Source organism: Homo sapiens, chromosome 18 (genome assembly GCF_000001405.40).
Source record: "Homo sapiens chromosome 18, GRCh38.p14 Primary Assembly".
NCBI lineage: Eukaryota > Metazoa > Chordata > Mammalia > Primates > Hominidae > Homo > Homo sapiens.
Window position 1 is genome coordinate 57456964 of NC_000018.10, and position 17773 is coordinate 57474736.

The 17773-nt window shown below is 43.2% G+C and overlaps 1 protein-coding gene across 4 annotated transcripts in view, besides 5 other annotated features; it reads left to right on the forward strand.

The window, feature by feature from the left end:
• The window catches only part of ONECUT2 (one cut homeobox 2), a 55925-nt gene that overhangs the window by 21590 nt on the left and 16562 nt on the right, over nucleotides 1-17773 (forward strand). The window contains exons 2-3 of one of the 4 annotated variants that reach the window (XM_047437946.1): nucleotides 10197-10257; nucleotides 12796-15853. The exons of 1 other annotated variant lie outside the window; for it this stretch is intronic. In XM_047437946.1, the coding sequence (XP_047293902.1) occupies nucleotides 10197-10257; nucleotides 12796-12883 (149 nt within the window). In that variant the 3' untranslated portion in view covers nucleotides 12884-15853. Of the gene's footprint in view, nucleotides 1-263; nucleotides 1185-10196; nucleotides 10258-12795; nucleotides 15854-17773 lie in introns of those variants that run through there. 2 more of the 4 variants (XM_047437947.1, XM_047437945.1) reach the window with 2 other exon arrangements.
• Nucleotides 10696-10865: an enhancer, noted in NCBI's record as "experimental_48194 CRE fragment used in MPRA reporter constructs". NCBI's record gives its function as "activates a minimal promoter by MPRAs in K562 erythroleukemia cells, with activity observed for the non-introgressed 18:55134976 variant allele {active_cell/tissue: K562}" and the evidence as "EXISTENCE:reporter gene assay evidence [ECO:0000049][PMID:34662402]".
• Nucleotides 10696-10968: a biological region, named in NCBI's record as "Neanderthal introgressed variant-containing enhancers experimental_48194 and experimental_48198".
• Nucleotides 10799-10968: an enhancer, noted in NCBI's record as "experimental_48198 CRE fragment used in MPRA reporter constructs". NCBI's record gives its function as "activates a minimal promoter by MPRAs in K562 erythroleukemia cells, with activity observed for both the introgressed and non-introgressed 18:55135079 variant alleles {active_cell/tissue: K562}" and the evidence as "EXISTENCE:reporter gene assay evidence [ECO:0000049][PMID:34662402]".
• Nucleotides 12279-12448: an enhancer, noted in NCBI's record as "experimental_48219 CRE fragment used in MPRA reporter constructs". NCBI's record gives its function as "activates a minimal promoter by MPRAs in K562 erythroleukemia cells, with activity observed for the non-introgressed 18:55136559 variant allele {active_cell/tissue: K562}" and the evidence as "EXISTENCE:reporter gene assay evidence [ECO:0000049][PMID:34662402]".
• Nucleotides 14554-14723: an enhancer, noted in NCBI's record as "experimental_48245 CRE fragment used in MPRA reporter constructs". NCBI's record gives its function as "activates a minimal promoter by MPRAs in K562 erythroleukemia cells, with activity observed for the non-introgressed 18:55138834 variant allele {active_cell/tissue: K562}" and the evidence as "EXISTENCE:reporter gene assay evidence [ECO:0000049][PMID:34662402]".

Here is a 17773-nt window from a genome sequence, read left to right on the forward strand (position 1 = left end):
GACTTCCTGGGAGTGGGGTATCACCAGGTTGGTGAGGGAAAAAACAACTACTGCCATGTTGCTTTCAGTTCTTTTGGAGTATATACTCATAAGTGGTATTTCTGGGTCATGTGATAATTCACACTTTAAATTTCCGAGGAACTGCCATACTATTTCCATAGTGGCTACATCATCTTACAGTCCCACCAACAGCACACAAGGTTCCAATTTTTCCACATCCTTGCCAACATTTGTTATTTTTTGTTTTCATTTTGTTTTGACAGCAGCCATCCTAATGGGAATGAGGTCAAATAAACTTTCAACTGGAAGAACTGGATGTCAGAGCTCTGAGGGGGAACCAGGTTTCCAAACTCCAGCTCAGTGCCTGGCCACAAGTCTGCTGAAACTGAAGAGAAACCACCTTCCCTACTCTATGTGCAAGTTCTCAAGGCAGATTTTACTCTATCCTGCCCTTACCCCAGGTTCTAGAAGATGTTAAAGTGATGTTCAAATTCCTGAACTCCCTCCCCTGCCCCTACTTCCTTTTCTCTAAGACGTCCCTCCCCTCTGCTTCCCTAGACCCCTCCGGAGGACCAGTGCTCACTGCAGGCTTCCCTTTCTCTCTGCATCCAAAGGTCAGTTGTGTTTGCTCAGTAGTGGGATACTGCCTGTGAATAGCCACTGTACTCCAGCAGCTTAAAACTCCATTTCTTAAAAACATTTTTTATCAAAAGTTCTGCCACTCCACTATTCACAATAGCAAAGACTTGGAACCAACCCAAATGTCCATCAGTGATAGACTGGATTAAGAAAATGTGACACATATACACCATGGAATACTATGCAGCCATAAAAAAGGATGAGTTCATGTCCTTTGCAGTGACATGGATGAAGCTGAAAACCATCATTCTCAGCCAACTATCGCAAGGACAGAAAAGCAAACGCTGCATGCTCTCACTCGTAGGTGGGAGTTGAACAATGAGAATACATGGACACAGGGCGGGGAACATCACACACTGGGGCCTGTTGTGGGGTAGGGGGCTGGGGGAGGGATAGCATTAGAAGAAATACCTAATGTAAAAGACGAGTTGATGGGTGCAGCAAACCAACATGGCACATGTATACGTATGCAACAAACCTGCACGTTGTGCACATGTACCCTAGAATTTAAAGTATAATAATAAAAAAAAGTTCTGCCACTCAAAGAGAACCACATTAATATTTTGCTTTTATTAAAATTATTTTTAATTATTTAAGCAATGCATTAAAACATTCTACTTATAAAAATCAAAACATTAATGATCAGAATAAAGTCCTCTTTGCCTATCTCCTTTAATACCAGTCTTCTTCATTACTTCCCAGCAGTAACCACTCTTCTGGCTACAAAGAGTGGGTCTGCCAATCCAGGCACTTCCAGTGCATTTATTTACCTACATATGTACTCATATAAATTGTATAAATAGGTAGAAAGACAGATAGATAGATCGATAGGTATCTTAGGTTTGCGTATTGTTTTCACATAAGTGGCATCACACTGCATGCATCATTCCAAAGCTCCTTCTTTCCTTTGATAGTATGCCTACCCAGCTTCTACATATAAATGAGGTTCTTGCAACCCACATTTATTGCATAGTGTCCTATGGCATGACTATTTTCATTTATTTAGCCATTTCTGTTTTGATGGGCAATTAGGCTGTTTACCATTTTTGGTTGTTTGCATTATTTGCTAAGCAGTGATGAGTGAACATCCTTGTACACACCTCCCTGTGTACCCATGGGAATGTTTCCTAGGGTGGACACCGAGAAGCAAAATGAGAGGTCATGGAGATGCACATACTGTAATTTTGATAGGCACTACCACACTGTCTTCGAAATTGGCTCCCCATCAGCAGTGGAGGAGAGAGCTCCTATTTCCCTGACACTTGCCAGAAGTTAATATATTAGCCATTTTACTTTTTTTTGCATAGTTGCTGGATTTAAAAATAACATTTTGTGGTTGCTTTATTTTGTTATATTTTTATGATTTCTAATGAACCTTGATATAATCATATACTTGCTGGTCATATATATTTCCTTTTCTGAGAATGTCCTGTTCATATCCTTGTTTGGCATTGTTTTTTATATATTCTGGATGCAAATTTTTGCTTTACAAATTACAAATGTGGTCTCAGTTCTCCAGTTAAAAGGCATAAAGTGATTGAATGGTTAAAGAAACAAGACCCATCTATATGTTGCCTTCAGGAAACCCACTTCACCCATAAAGACACACATCGACTGAAAGTGAAAGAGTAGAAAAAATATTTCATGCAATTGGAAACCAAAGAAGAGTGGGAGTAACTATACTTATATCAGATAAAATAGACTACAAATCAAAGACTGTGAACAAAGATGAGGAGGGTCACTACGTAATGAGAAAAGGGTCAATACAGCAAGGGGATATAACAATTATAAATATCTATGTGCCCAACACTAGAGCTCCCAGGTATATAAAGCAAACATTAATAGATCTAAAGGGAGGGATAGACTATAATATATTGAAAACATTTTATCCCATGGTATTATTTTGAAACTTAATAAGGCTTCTTTTAACTTTGATGTATCAAATTCATCTTTTTTATTATTTATTTTTTATGAGACAGAGTTTCACTCTTGTCGCCCAGGCTGAGTCCAATGGTGGTGCAATCTTGGCTCACTGCAACCTCTGCCTCTGGGTTCAAGCAATTCTCCTGCCTCAGCCTCCTGAGTAGCTGGGATTACAGGTGCTCTCCACCATGCCTGCCTAATTTTTGTATTTTTAGTAGAGATGGAGTTTCTCCATGTTGGTCAGGCTGGTCTCGAACTTCTGACCTCAGATGATCCACCCGCCTCAGCCTCCCAAAGTGCTGGGATTATAGGCGTGAGCCACCATGCCCGGCCCAAATAAATATTTTTGTTGCTCTTCCTTTACTTTATGTGTTTTGCTTCTTGGGTCATTTTTATTTATTTTATTTATTTTTTAGAGGCAGGATCTCACTCTGTTGCCTAGGCTGAGATGCAGAGCCCCAATCATAGCTCACTGCAACCTCGAACTCTTGGGCTCAAGCGATCCTCCTACAAAAGCTTCCCAAGCAGCTAGGACTACAGGTGCCTGCCACCTCATCCAGCTAATTTTATTTTATTTTTTTCATACAGATGGAGTCTTGCTATGTTACCCAGGCTAGTCTCAAACTCCTGAGCTCAAGCAATCCCCCCACCTCAGCCTGTGTGCTGGGGTTATAGGCGTGAGCCACCATGCCTGGCCTTGGGTCATTTTTAAACATTTGAATCTTTATTCTTTAATTTTTCTGAAGTTGCTTTTTATAAATTATGTGAAATTGGAATCTATTTTTTTAAAATCTCAAATGGATAGCCAACTAATCCAACAGTTTCTGAACAATTCATCTCTTCTCACTATTTGAAATGCAATACTTTCTTTATAATATATTATATTCCCTTATGTACTTGGGTCAGTTTCTGCACTCCATTCTGTTCCATGGATCTATTAAATTCTGTGTCAACGTCATACTATTTAAATTATTTTTGCTTTATGATATATCTTGAGCTCTAATAGGATATATATTTTCTCTCCTCATCTTCTGTTTCTACATCTTCTTAGCCTTCCTTGTATTTTCACTTTTCCATAGGAATTATAGAATCAGCTTGAATTTATATATTATTTTGATCTTCTCAATTATACATAGGGCACAGAGTTCTATTCATTCAAATCTTTTTTTTTTTTTTTTTTTTGAGATGGGGTCTCACTCTGTTGCTCAGGCCTGAGTGCAGTGGCACAATCACAGCTCACTGCAGCCTTGACCTCCCTAGCTCGGGTGATCCTCCTACCTCAGCCTCCTGAATAACTGGGACTACAGGCACACCCACCACACCTGGCTAATTTTTTTGTATTTTTTGTAGAGACAGGGTGTCACTCTCTTGCCCAGGCTGGTCTCAAATGCCTGAGTTCAAGTGATCCTCCCACCTCAGCCTCCCTGGCATTATGGCGTGAGCCACCACGCCTGGACCCCAAATCTTTATTTATGTCCTCAGCAAGTAAAAATAAGTTTTAGTTTTGGCCTTTTGATCTTTTGGTTAGAGTTATTTCTAGCTACTTGTTACTGTTGTGAAGGTTTTTTTCTGTTGCGTTTTGGTTTCATAGTTCTTTATACTCAAGTATCCTAACCACTATAGTTTAGTGTTGCTGTTTTTTTTTTAACTTCATATAAACAGACTCACTATATGTGTATTCCTTTGTGTCTGATTTCTTTTTTCCAACATTATCTTCATGCTGTTATGTGTTGCTGCATGTAGTAGCAGTCATTCCTTCTTTTTCATAACTCTATAATATTCCACTAAACTCATATGCCACAGTTAATCAATTCTCCTGTCAATGAGCATTTGGATTGTTTCCAGTTTTACTACAGAGCTGCTCTGAACATTCTTGTACATGTACATGCATCCTAATGTACTTAACCATACATTTCTGTGGGGTTTTCTTAATTTGAGTTTCTTCAGAAGCAAACCCTAAAACAAGAATTCAAGTATGGGTAGTTTATTTGAAAGGTGATTCCAGAAAACACTAGTAAAAGAGTGGAGAAGCAAGACAGGAAAGGGAAGAAGCCCAATAAGAGTCACTTCATGAAGCACATTAGTAGAGTGGGCAAATGGAGCTTAATCCTGCTGAGTAACTCTGTGAAACTCCAGAGAAAATATGCCTTAGAGTTGTTCCAGCTGAAGAACAAGGGTGCTGGGGTATTTATCTGGCAGCTCCAATTATTCCCTAATTGAGGAAATCTCCTGGACCCTTCCCCAGCCCTTCTGGCCTGCACTGCATGTGGGCAGGGCAGGCTCTGGCAGCCAGACAAAGCCCTCAGGCAAAGAGCTGAAGGTACTGGCAGTTAGAAGTTGGGCTGTCGTGCCCCGCAGTGGTGAAGGCCAGGAGAGTGTGGCAGCACATGACAGAGTCTGCTACAAGAGAGTCTTTCCATGAGCAGAATTTCTGGGTCATAGGGCACATATATATTCAACCATTGCAGATACTGCCAAACAGTCTTCCAATCTGTTGTCCCAGTTTGCCCTCCCACCAGCAGCCTAGGAGAACTCCCGCAAGGCTGTGTCCTTGCCAGCTCTTGGTATTGACTTTTACATTTAAGCCATTTTGATAGGTGTTTAATGTTGTCTAATTTGCAATTCCTGGATTACTGATAATTTTGAGCATCTTTTCATGTAATTTTTGAAAATTTGGATTTCTTCTGTGAAGTGCCTGTTCAAGTCTCTTGCCTGTTTTTCTATTGGAATGTTTGGCATTTCCTTATTGATTTCCAGAAGATTTTATATATTCTGGATTCAGGCCCTGTGGCAGACATATGTGTTTAAGATATCTGTGGCTCTCCTTTTTACTGTCATTCCTGTCTTTTGAAAAACAGAAGTTCTTAAATTTTTTTAAGAGACAGGGTCTCGCTCTGTTACCCAGGCTGGAGTATAGTGGTACGATCATAGCTCACTGCAGCTTTCACCTCCTGGGCTCAGGCAGTCCTCCTGCCTCAACCTTCCAAGTAGCTGGGACTACTATAGGCATGCACCACCACGCTGGCTAACTTCTTAAAATTGTTTTTTGTAGAGACAGGGTCTCACTTTGTTGCACAGGAGAAGTTCTTAATTTTAACGGGCCCCAATATATAACTATTTCTCTTTGGGCTAGTACTTTTTGAGTACTAAGAAATCTTTCCTGTGATTATGAAGAATTACCCTATGTTATTTTCTTTCTTTTTTTTTTTTTTTTTTTTTTTTTGAGACAGAGTTTTGCTCTTGTTGCCCAGGCTGGAGTGCAATGGCCCAATCTCGGCTCACTGGAACCTCTGCCTCCCAGGTTCAAGCGATTCTCCTGCCTCAGCCTTCCGAGTAGCTGGGACAACAGGCATCTGCCACCACGCCTGGCTAATTTTTGTATTTTTAGTAGACACGGAGTTTTACCATGTTGGCCAGGCTGGTCTCGAACTCCTGACCTCAAGTGATCTGCCCGCCTCGGCCTCCCAAAGTACTGGGATTACAGGCATAAGCCACTGTGCTCGGCCTACCCTATGTTATTTTCTAAAAACTTTATTGTTTTGCCATCCATACTAAGGTCTGTAATCCATGCAGAACTTATTTTTTGTGTATGACATGAGGTAGGGGTCAAGAATTACATTGTGACACAATGCCTATCCAGTTATTCCAACTCCATTACAGGAGAGAACACATGTTCCTCATGTTCTGCATATCCAACCTTGTCATTGAATCCAGTGTCCATATGTGTATGGATCTATTTCTGGGTTTCTGTCCTTTTCCACTGGTCTGGAGTTGTATGTCCTTGCTGCAGTATTACACCATCTATTGTAGCCTCATTAAAGATCTTGGTAGTTGAAACAGAAAGTTGTCCTACGTTGTTCTTCTTCATCTAGAATAGCTTAACTGTTCTTCGATTTTTTTGCATTCCCAGTTAAATTTCAGAGTCAGCTTGTCAAACTCAAACTTTCTTTCCTTTCCTCTTGAAAGGAAGGAAAGAAGGAAGGAAGAGAGGGAGAGAAATCTGCTGGGATTCTGATTAGAGATTGCATTGTACCTGTAGATCAATATGGAAAGAATTAAAACTCTTCACAATATTGAGTTTTCCAATCAATTTATTTAGGTATTCTTTAATTTCTCTAACAAAGTTTTGTAGTTTTCCCTGTCAATGTCTTGTATACCTATTGCTAGATCTATTCTATGTACACTCTTGATGTTTTGATCCTATTGTAAATGATATCATTTTCATTTACTGTTTGATGTGTTATGGAGAAATACAATTGATTTTGTCTACTGACTTGAGTCTTAGAATCTTACTAAATTCTCATACTAATTCTAACAGTTCATTGTGTATTCTCGTGGATTTTTAAGTACACACAATCAATATTGATTTTCTATGTTCATCTTGAAACTGGCCACCTTACTGAACTTTTTTATTAGTTCTAGTAATTTGCCTTTCAAAATCTTGAGTTTTCTAGGTTACAAAACCAAAAAAAAAAAAAAGTCCCTCATATTAACTTATAATTATGAGGATTCTGTTTCTGGCTGAAGACGCTGTTAAGTAAAAGAAGTATGGAGTCACACTACCTGAATTTGACTCCCAGCCTGTTATTTACTATGTAACTTTAAGTAATTTGCTTAATCCTCTGTACCTTGGTATCATTAATTATAAGCTGCCTCATAGGGTGGTTGTAATAATTAAATGAGTTTATACACGTAGAATTCTGCCTGTCAAATAATGAGCACTCAACTTATGTAAGCTTTTGCCATTTCATCAGTTTCCTAAATTCCTTTATAAATTTTCTTTCTAAATTTTCACTTCTTATTTATTTTTTCTTATTTTATTGTATTGGCTCCTTTTCCGATATAACATTGAATCATAGTGGTGCTTACACCCCTCATCTGAAATTTCAACACTTTGAAACATTTCTTTCTAGTATTTTTTTTGTTTTTTGTTTTTTTGTTTTTGTTTTTGTTTTTTTATATAGGCATGTTGTTTTGTTTTGCTTTTCATGTTTGACGTATCTGAAATTGTCTTTGACTGGACTTCCAAATCTGGTGGTAAACTATGCAAGACAGAGATACTTTTCCAAAGGAATGTCTTTTGTTCAAACTATATTATTCACATAAAGATGAAAAGTAATAACGAAACAATTTGTTTTTAAACATTGAGATTTGGTTGTGAATGGAGACACCGACCCTTTTTCCTTCCTGCAGATTCATTAGTGTAGTCTTAACAAAGAGGTGCTCTTCATTCATGTAATAAAACTTTTTAGGATGTTTGGAAGGAGCTCAGGGATATTCGTAGCCACATAGGGCTGTTGGCCAATTCTTTTTTAAGACAATATCACATTCTTGAGCTTTTAAGTTTGATTAAATTCTTAGTAAGCTAGAGTATGTCTTCAAGTTATTTTCATAGAAAATATTTTCATAGAAAATTTTCATAGAAGTTATTTTCATAGAAAGCCTATAGTTAGAATTTTTGAGTCATTAAATAACTAAGAATGCCTTTCTACGGGAAAGACCACCTGAACCACATAAAATTCTAGCATTACCGCCACAGTGTCAGTTTTGCTCTTAATTTCCTCCAATGCCACTACTGTATTTCTCATTTTCCTGCAAATTTTAAAAATCTTACTCCTCTTTTTTTGCGGGGGGCGGGGGTTGTTTGTTTGTTTTGAGACAGGGTTTCATTCTGTCACCCAGGCTGGAGTGCAGTGGCATGATTGTGGCTCACCACAGTCTCAACCCTCTGGGCTCAATTGTTCTCCCTGCTTCAGTCTCCTGAGTAGCTGGGACCACAGGTGCACACCACCCACGCCTGGCTAATTTTTGTAGTTTTTGTAGAGACAGGGTTTCGCCATGTTGCCCAGGCTGGTCGCAAATTCCTGGGCTTAAGCAATCCGCCCGCCTTGGCCTCCCAAAGTGCTGGGATTACAGGCATGAGCCACCTCATCCAGCCCATCTTTTGTCTTACTACTTTTTCATTACATATGGTTACTTACAAATTGCTATTTTCTTCTTAATAATTTTCTGTTCCTGTTTCATAAAAGCCACCTCTTTTTGCATCATATTGTTATATCAAATGATTCTCTAAAATGTTCTTTAAGTTTCTGGAAGATATTATCTGGTAAATTTTCTCTGGTTTTCAGATGAGGATCCCTTTTTGTCTTCTACTATTTTTTCAATTGTCTCTTTTTCCTGTTTATTCATTCTCAAATGAGAAGAGACCCATTCTGGCTTGCCATGGTCAATAGAAAGGGTGTATGTTTTGCTCATGACCTCTTTTCTGGATGTTAGTGCACTCATTCTCTAAGCCCTATACTAAATCGCCAGTTGATACACCTAACCAAGCTTCCATCTAATCAGCTTCCTTGTTGTGTGGCCCTGCTGAACTGATGTGCACTCATCTCCTGCATCCGATCCTGGGATGCTGAGAAGCTGATCAAATGGAATACACACGACAACCCCCGGTATACTGCACATCGAGGGCTCCTCTTGTACCTGTGCTCACCCTGAGTGCTCTGGAAACTACTTCTCCAAGGGAGTGATGTACCAGCCTTGGTGTCCCTCCTCCACCCTGCAGTTTTGTTTTGTTTTGTTTTGTTTTTTTGCCTAGTTGTTTTCTGAGAGTTGCAGTTCTTAATTGGCAGGTGGAAGGGAGTGGGGAGTACTCTGGCTCTTTCAAAAGGCAGCACCTACCAAGTAGATGGATGGCTGCTGAATTTAAATTTCTCAACAGTTGGAGGACTCAGATGTTATTTTTTCAATCCTGATGTCCCATTTCAACCCAGTTCCATTGGCCTTGGCCTTGTGTTTAGGTAAAAAATCTCCAGATCCCCCAAAACAGACTGACTGCAGTCCTGGTTTTTGGTGTGCTAAGTTTTGTGTTTCATTACAGGACTTCGAGATGATTTTAGCAGAAAGTTGAAGAAGCTGCCCCATGCTCTCCTAGCCATTTTAAGCCAGATGTTTGTATCTGGAATTAAATATTTGTTTTAGCAACTCACGACTTCCTGGATGGCTTACAGGAATGCAGCTTGGCAGCAGAGCTAAAGATCCCTCTTTGCCAGGCTTCTGCATAGGCAGAAGAGATGACTGGGAATTGTGATTTCAAAGGCTGAGTGCCCCAAACTATTTATTCTAATAGGAAGGTGGGAAATAAAAGCCCCACTGGACTAGACAGGAGGGAATATGGGTTCTCAGGGCTGTGTCACTGCATAGGTGACCCTAGCTGGGAGTTCTGATCTCTTATTTCTAAAAACAAGGTTAGACCAAGTGCTCTCTAAAATCCTGCCTTTCTAGGAGTCTGTGGTTTTAGCAGCTGACCTAGACCATCTGCTATTAGAAGCCTGTTCTTTGAGGCTACTCATGTTTGTTAGAGCCTCTGCTGGAGAGAAGCAGAAGTAAGAGGTACATCTCCACTCGGTGTACAGGCTCCAGTGTGCTTCCTACAGGCAGCACCTGCGGGCAGCTACAGGGGCCTGAACCTTCCCCTGGGAGATCTGCCCACCAGGGGCACTCTGGGCCTTTTTCAGGCCATGCCTCCATATAAGAAAGTCGTGAGACATCCAAGAGCCCTCATTTCCTGAGTCCCCTTCAGTGACTTTGTATTGAAAGTAAAAATAGAGACAGGAAATAAAACTTGTTTTTTTCAGAGAATGTCTTTGAAGCTTGGGAACACAGAATGGTCGCTGTGCGGTCTGCCTCCAGCCGACAGTAAGTGGACACTGGGGAGTTGCTCTAGCGCTTGTCAAGACCAGCTTCGACATCCAAGTGAAAGCAGAGGCGGCGGTGTGGAGAAAGAGCAGAGATTTGCCATTGATCATCCACATTTCCTTTGGTTTTTTTTTTGTTTGTTTGTTTGTTTGTTTTTTTTCCTAAGACAGAGCCTTGCTCTGTCACCCAGGCGGGAGCGCAATGGCGTGATCTTGGCTCACTGCAATCTCTGCCTCCCGGGTTGAAGTGATTCTCCTGCCTCGGCCTCCCGAGTATCTGGGATTACAGGCACACGCCACCACACTTGGCTAATTTTTTTTATTTTTAGTAGAGACAGGGTTTCACCATGTTATCCAGGATAGCCTCGATCTCCTGACCTCGTGATCCACCCGCCTCAGCCTCCCGAAGTGCTGGGATTACAGGCATGAGCCACCTCACCTGGCCTATCATCCACATTTTCTAGATGAGAGGAAGAATGTACTACAGGAAATCTCCCCAGGATCTGAGATTTGTCCTGTGTCAGAGGTGAAGCCCAAGACACGGCTCACACCGACATTCCAGGGCAGTGCCAAGCCTTCCCGGACTCCGGGCAGCTCGGAACTTGGGGACTTTGCCCCCACCCTCCAGCATCTCCAGAATGAGGGGAGTGTGTATGTGTGCATCGTGCATGGCCCCTCCTGCCTTCTTGTTCCTTCTCCCTCCTGTCTCCTTTTTCCTCTTGCTCCGCCATTCTCCCGCCCACAATATCTGCTCTAATAAGCCAGGCGGCAGTGCTCCAACTAGCCCATAGGTGGTTCACGCTGGAGTACCTTGTGCAGGATAATTTGCCAAATGGGTTAGAGGTCTGTCTTGCAAGGCCTGTGCATACATCCACAATTAGAAGGGAGTGAAAGGAGGAGGGGAACCTAACAACCAAGAATGGCTCCACATCCATTTGCACAGTGTCCACCCTGTCTCTGCCCTTGGCCTCCCAAATGGATGTTGGTCTGGACGTCACTGGCTCCGCTGCCTGTCTGTATTGGCATCTGGTACATGAAGACCAAGTTTCTGAGGAAAGCCAGCTCTCAACCTTGAAACAAAGCCATTAAGTTTCTCATCTGACTCAGATCAGGCACGTTTGGAGAAATGAGGGCCAAGTTAGAGTTTAGTTCTAGAGGTGGTTGGGGGCGGAGGGCAGGTTCATGGTACTGGCTCCATGGTCATCTGAACCTAAGTGGCCTTTGGTGATGCGTCAGAAATCACAATGAAGCAAGGAAACCTGCAAGGCATCTAACTGGGAACTATTTATAGTTTCCAAAATTTAGGGAGCACAAAATAATCCAATAATGATTTTAAGACAGACCCTCCCCATCCATCAAGGCCTGGCTCCTCCCAGGTGGGTGATCAGTGCTTCTGGCACCAGCTGGCCCTGAATGGCCAGTGGAGCTGCTTAGAGCCTGAGCCCCAAGTCTTGTGTGTTAGGCCCCCTGCTCCCAGGGTCTCTGTGGCAATGTGCTGGCACCTAATTATTTGCTGACCCTGAGAAGCATGCATTGCTGAGATTTACCAGCATTTATGGCTTACTGAATATCAAATATTTATTAGCAGAGTGTACAGTTATTCTATTTTCTTTCTTCCTTGTTTGAATTCAAGGAATCTTATTATTTTTACTTTAAAGGCTCTTGATCATGCAGATTAGTTCCAAAGGAAGGGTTCTCTACTGGACACCATCACCTCTCCCATAGTCTTGTCATTCTATCAGTACTGAAGGGCCACCAGTTCAGAGCAGGGAAGTGAAGGGGGGTTATTTCCATTCTTCTTACCTCAAACACCTGTAGGTTTCTCAGGGAACAAGCCCAGAGGTACAAATGTGAACCTACTTTTGTAATTGATTTTTCCAACATAACCCCAATTGACTGCCTTAGTTAATCTTTCCAACAGAACTGCAGGCCCTATGTCCTCCCGGGAGAGTGCCCTCCTTAGTGGAAAGGGTCACGCTCCCCACTTTGCACAAGCCTTCCTAGGAGGGAAGCTGCGAGCTCTTCAGCTGAAAAGCGAAAAGGCCTCTTCTGCAGGTGTACTTTTCAAACCTGTATCCTTGGAGGTTAAGTGTCTGCTGACAAATGCACACCCTGGATGGTCTCTCTCCCCACTCCCCACCCTTGCCCTGACAAGATCACATTGAACTATTCAGGGAAAGTATTTACTGAATGCAAGGAGAATAGAGCACTTCTGCATTATTTATTAGGGGCTAACAATACCCATCATATGTAGATGATATTGATACCCATCAATGTATTTGGACATAAATTAGTATGTTAGGAAACTCCAGTGGTCCAAAACCTTTTAGGATCTCTGACACGTATGTAAAAACACGTCGTAGTCTTACCTCTTATATGAGGCTGGGAATTGGCTATGAGACAACCTCACAAAGAAAACAAACATCTTTAACCTTTTATTTGCCATTAGCCCTCTGGGCAGTTCATCTACTATCGAGTAAGACTTGAAATCATGAACTCTTAACCTCTCCTTACACACCTTCTTTCTGCTTTCTCTAAGGAAGGAAGAATGTTCACATTTCCTGAGTGTCTACTCTGTGCCAAGTGTTACAGCAAGCCTTTTGATGTCCTGGAGTGCTGGACATTAGCATCCCCACTCTATAGGATCAGGAAACTAAGGCTCACAGTCCTGCAGCTGATAAGTGGCTGACAAGGAGTAGGAAACAGGGTCTTGGCTTCCATCTGAGCTTCTTACAGTACATTTGACTCACCCCTGGGCAGGAAGGCAAAGGTCATTCTTGGCTTCTGTATCAGTTACCTGTCACCACAATAATGCTGCAAAACACAGAACCACAGCATGGGTGATATAAAACAATAAACATCTATTTTTGCCCAGAAGCTTGTTTGTTGGCTGGGTGTGTCTGCTGATACAGGCCGTGCTTGGCTGATCTCAGCTGGACTCAAGTGTGCATCTTTAGTCAGCTGCTGGATCAGCTGGGGCTGTCCCGTCCAAGATGGCCTTGGCCAGGACAGCCCATCCAAGTTGAGTGGGGAGTTCCAGTTCTGGGGCAGCGAGGACTGGAAGATTCTGACCCGGTGTTGAGTTGCTCTTACTTCACAGGCTTCCCAGAAACTGTGGAGGCTGGGAAGGGGTTTTCCAAGATCAAATCCAGGATCCAGTGCTAATTGAGTCACCCTAAACAAACGTGTTTCCTTCTCCAAGAGTAAAATGGGAATCCATACCTCTGCCCCATCTTCCTTTCAGAGATGTTGTGAAAAGAAATTCCCAATGGGGGATCCAGACTTTGGCTTCCACTGGGACTCACCTCACTGTGCCTTCAGTTCCTTATGTGAAACTGACAACCCTGGACTGGACAAAACACTGAGGTTCTATGGCTCTGTGAGGAGGACCAAGCTAAGGGAGATAAAAGATGTTCAGGTGCCTTGAAGAGCTAACACCACTGCACCTGCGGAACTGGGTGTCAAGGTGACATGCGGTTCCAGGGTAATTCCCCAACCTGTATCTGCCTCCCTGAACCAACCAGATACTGTCCCCCTTACCTTACCCTCCACACCACACACACACAACCACACACACACACACACAACCGAGGTCAGTCTACCCTCTGTTCGGGAATGGGCCCTCCCCCATCTCTCTCCTTGCTTCCCCTCCCCACCAGCACAAAGGCCCTGGCTTCCAACACCCCATTACTGCTCAGCATCCAAATATCCAAAGACTTTTGTTACTAGAAGGAAAACGCACGATGCGTGACAAGCAGCCTTTCTGGCCGGGGAAGCTACTCTGTTACTGACCACGCAGTCGGTGGCAAGGTCCCTCCCCAAGCTGAGAGAGAAGGGAGAGCACAGGACACCACGGGGCCTTTTCTGTCCTCCATGATGTTCTCCAGTCTCACACAATCCCTCACCCTGTCCCGCCTCCCTTTGCATCCCCTCTGGATGGGAATCATCCCTGGCTTGATGAGCGTTGCTGCACGACTCTGACCACATACCTTTGTGCTGCCCATGGGTAGGCGATGGACAGGGCCAGGGCCGGTTAGTCTGGGTGTCAGAGGGCAGCTGAGCTCCTAGAACGCCCAGGAGCAGCCACTCTGGAGGCAAAGTAGACCTGGCCCACATGGAGTTGGGTTGGGATGGGGAAGGCATGGAGAAAGGGTCAGTTGTGGAGAGACATTCTCTCTCTCCAGGTTAGAGGTGGGGAAGATCAGCTATGGGGAGCAGCACATTCTTGGAAAGGCACTTTGTTTGTCCTGTGTCTGACCTCCTGAGGGGCAAAAATCCAGTGGCCACCAGGGAGAAGCAAGTTGGTGTCTGAAGATCTCAGAGAGGGCTTGTGCCCGAGGCCAGGGCTTCCCTTGTTTTACCCTGGGAACCCAGTGTTTTGAAAAATTTATCTACCAAGGAACCTATATTTTTAGGCAGTAGCTGTCTGCCATCCTTGTTAATCACAGATTATACACAGATGTGTACATGCCTGCCAGTACCAGGTCCTGGGCCACAGGACACAACCAGCATGACCAATCTGAGTCAATATTATTTCTTTCAAAAAGTGGGGAAAGGTAGCCTTATTGTAGGTAAACAAATGACTTCTCTTCGAGTCTTTGAAATGGAAGCGAGCGCTTGGCCTTCCATGTGGTCCTACATAGGACCTGCTTCCCTGTGAGAGGGAGGGAGCTCAAGAATGTCTGAGGGCTTTTGGGATCTACACCCACCTCCCCATCAGGCAGTGACACATCAGCTCCTGGCATGCCCTCCCTGCTTTCCTCCTAAAAGAGAGAGGAGAAGAATCAGATCCAAATGGTCTAGACAGGGCTGGGCTAACCTTGCACCTTCCGTGGCAGAACTGGCTTTGAGCAGTTGGAGTTCAGGAGACCCTGACCAGCATGTGACTGTGTCAAGACTGAATCCATCAATGCCACTGGAACACCTGCTGTTTCGTTGGGTTTCTATCGCATCCTTGGGTTGGAGGGAGCTATTGACACTTTCCTGGCTGTTCAAAAATGGGCACATGTGGACTATAGAGTGTAGTAATTGAACAGCACCAAAGCCGTTTGCACTCTGCTTGTGCCTGCAGGCACACCTGGCTCCACAGCCCGGGTCTGAGGATGCTGAGGTCACAGCCTCACACCAGCTCCCAGACGTCATTGGATCTGTCTCCTTTTTCTTAGGCTTTCAAGGCAGGTGTTCTCCCTCCTGTTTTTATTTTCCTTTAGCTCCTGACCAACTGCTTTTGTCAAAATCAACAGCTGGCAATTGCTAGCTATAAAAACCCTGGGCAACATATGGACATACTGCCTCATTATTTAGGGCATTTGGGCTTGCTGTACACTTCTAGACTGCAAGCTACAGCTTTGCATTTGTTGCTGTGGCATCTGGTGGCTTCCAAAGGCTGTTGGGAAGGCATAGGCAGGATGTATTGATCTGTTCTCTCTGTGCAGTTTGCTTCACGTTAAGTCTTTAATATTTTTATCTTAAATATGTGTGTGTATATATATATATAATTTTAAATATATGTATCTCACACAAAATATAATCCGACAAGCCAATGTGGACCTGTACCCAAACTGTCTAATCACCCTATTAAAAGCACAAATACAGCATTATCTGAAGAATAATCAATATTGGTATGAAAATTGAGAGCTATGTGGTTAATCCAAAGGAGCGTGAATTGACAGAGGACCTCAGCCAATGTTTGCAGAAGATATTTGCCTGGATTTTGTTATCAGGAGATTATCATGCATCACTATTTATTCAGAATCCTCCAGATGAAGGCTTGACACCAGTTGTCCCAGGGGTAGGGTCAGGGACGGTTGTCCAGGGACCTGAAGTGGCAGTAGGGGCAAGCATAGTGGTTTCTACATCTTAAAAGGGGCTGCAGAGGTTTATAGAAGCACAGATTCCAGAACCTTGCCCCACATGGTGAAAATCAGAATTTCTGGGGGTGGAGACCCAGAGGCTGCCCTGCAAAGAGGGCCCCTCTGATGTGCAGTTGGGTATGGGTGCCATTCCCTACAAGAGAAGTGTTTATTCTTTCTTTCCCTGGGTCTGCAGCAAACCTGGGATGCGGTGTCAGTGTCATCACATATACTCCAAGGTCTCCATGTATTTCCTTTTAAAATGAAAATCATTTTTCCTGATTTGCCTAGCTCAGAGTTACTGGGGTAATACAATGAGAAGGAGAGTATGAAGTGAAGAGGTACCTGTTATCTCACTTAAGCCTCTCTAGAATTGAACATTTTTATTTCCTTATTTAGATGAGGAAGACAGGCACAAAGAGGCTACGTAATTTGCAAGGCCCCAGGTCTTGGAGGTGTGGAAGCCCAGGTTTGAATCCAGAGCTTTCCATTGCATAACATGCTCCTCTGAGACTGTAGAAATCAGGCAGACCCTTGCAACTCAAACCGAGGCATGTGGACCAGCAGCATCAGCATCACCTGGGTGCTCATGAGAAATGCAGAATCCCAGGCCCTGTCCAGGCTGAACTGCATGAGAATCTGCGTTTTGATGAGCCCTCCAGGTGATTCCTATGCACCTTAAAGTTTAGCAGCACTGCTGTAGAGGACTTCAGATTGAGCAAGAGAGAGTAGACCTCAAAACAAGGTTCCCCTGCAAAGGCTATTTCTGTGTGTTACCACCACACAGGAATCATCAGAATCCAACAAAAATATGCAGTCTTCACAGGAATGAGCAAAGAAGAAATCATTACCGGTAAGCTGTTGGAAGGATGGCAGTGAGCAGTCTTAGCCCTTTCTGTCTGAGTTCCCACTGCAGGGGAAGCGCTCCTCATCCAAGAAAGCCAAAAGGCCCCAAAAGAATGAGTTTTAAGATGAAAACAAATTGTTTTTATGTGGATGTGTTGTGTGTGTTTAATTTTGAAGACAATATGAATACTTTTAGAAATGAGAGAAGGAAAAATCAGGAAGAAAGTTTAGCCAAGCTGATACAGCCTAGCAGCTTTCCCATTCAGGGGCTCTCCTCTTCCTGCCCTTTGAGAGTATCAGTGCATTTTGATTATTTCAGGAATGATTCATTTATATTACTTTATAGCACACAGCATCCAGCAGGGAGGGCAGCCAGTTAGGTAGAAGGAAATTCAGCTTCCAAGTATCTTTCCCGTAAGTGTTTGTCTTCAGGTTAAATCCTGTCTTAGTCTGTTAAGGCTCCAGTAACAACCACAACAACAAAATACCGTGACTTAGTGCTTATAAACAATAGAAGTTTATTTCTGACAGTTCTGGAGGCTGGGAAGTCTAAGATTAAGGTGCCAGCGGATTCAGCGTCAGGCGATAGTCTGTGTCCTGGTTCACAGAGAAGACTTTCTCACTGTGTCCTCCCGTGGTAGAAGGGGCAAGAGGTCTCTCTCAGGCTTATTTTATAAGGGCACTAACCCTATTCCTGAGGGCTCCAACTTTATGGCCCAATCACCTCCCAAAGGCCCCACCTCTTAGTACCATCACCTTGGATGTTAGGATTGTAACATATGAATTTTTGGGGGGACATAAACATTCAGACACCGTAGC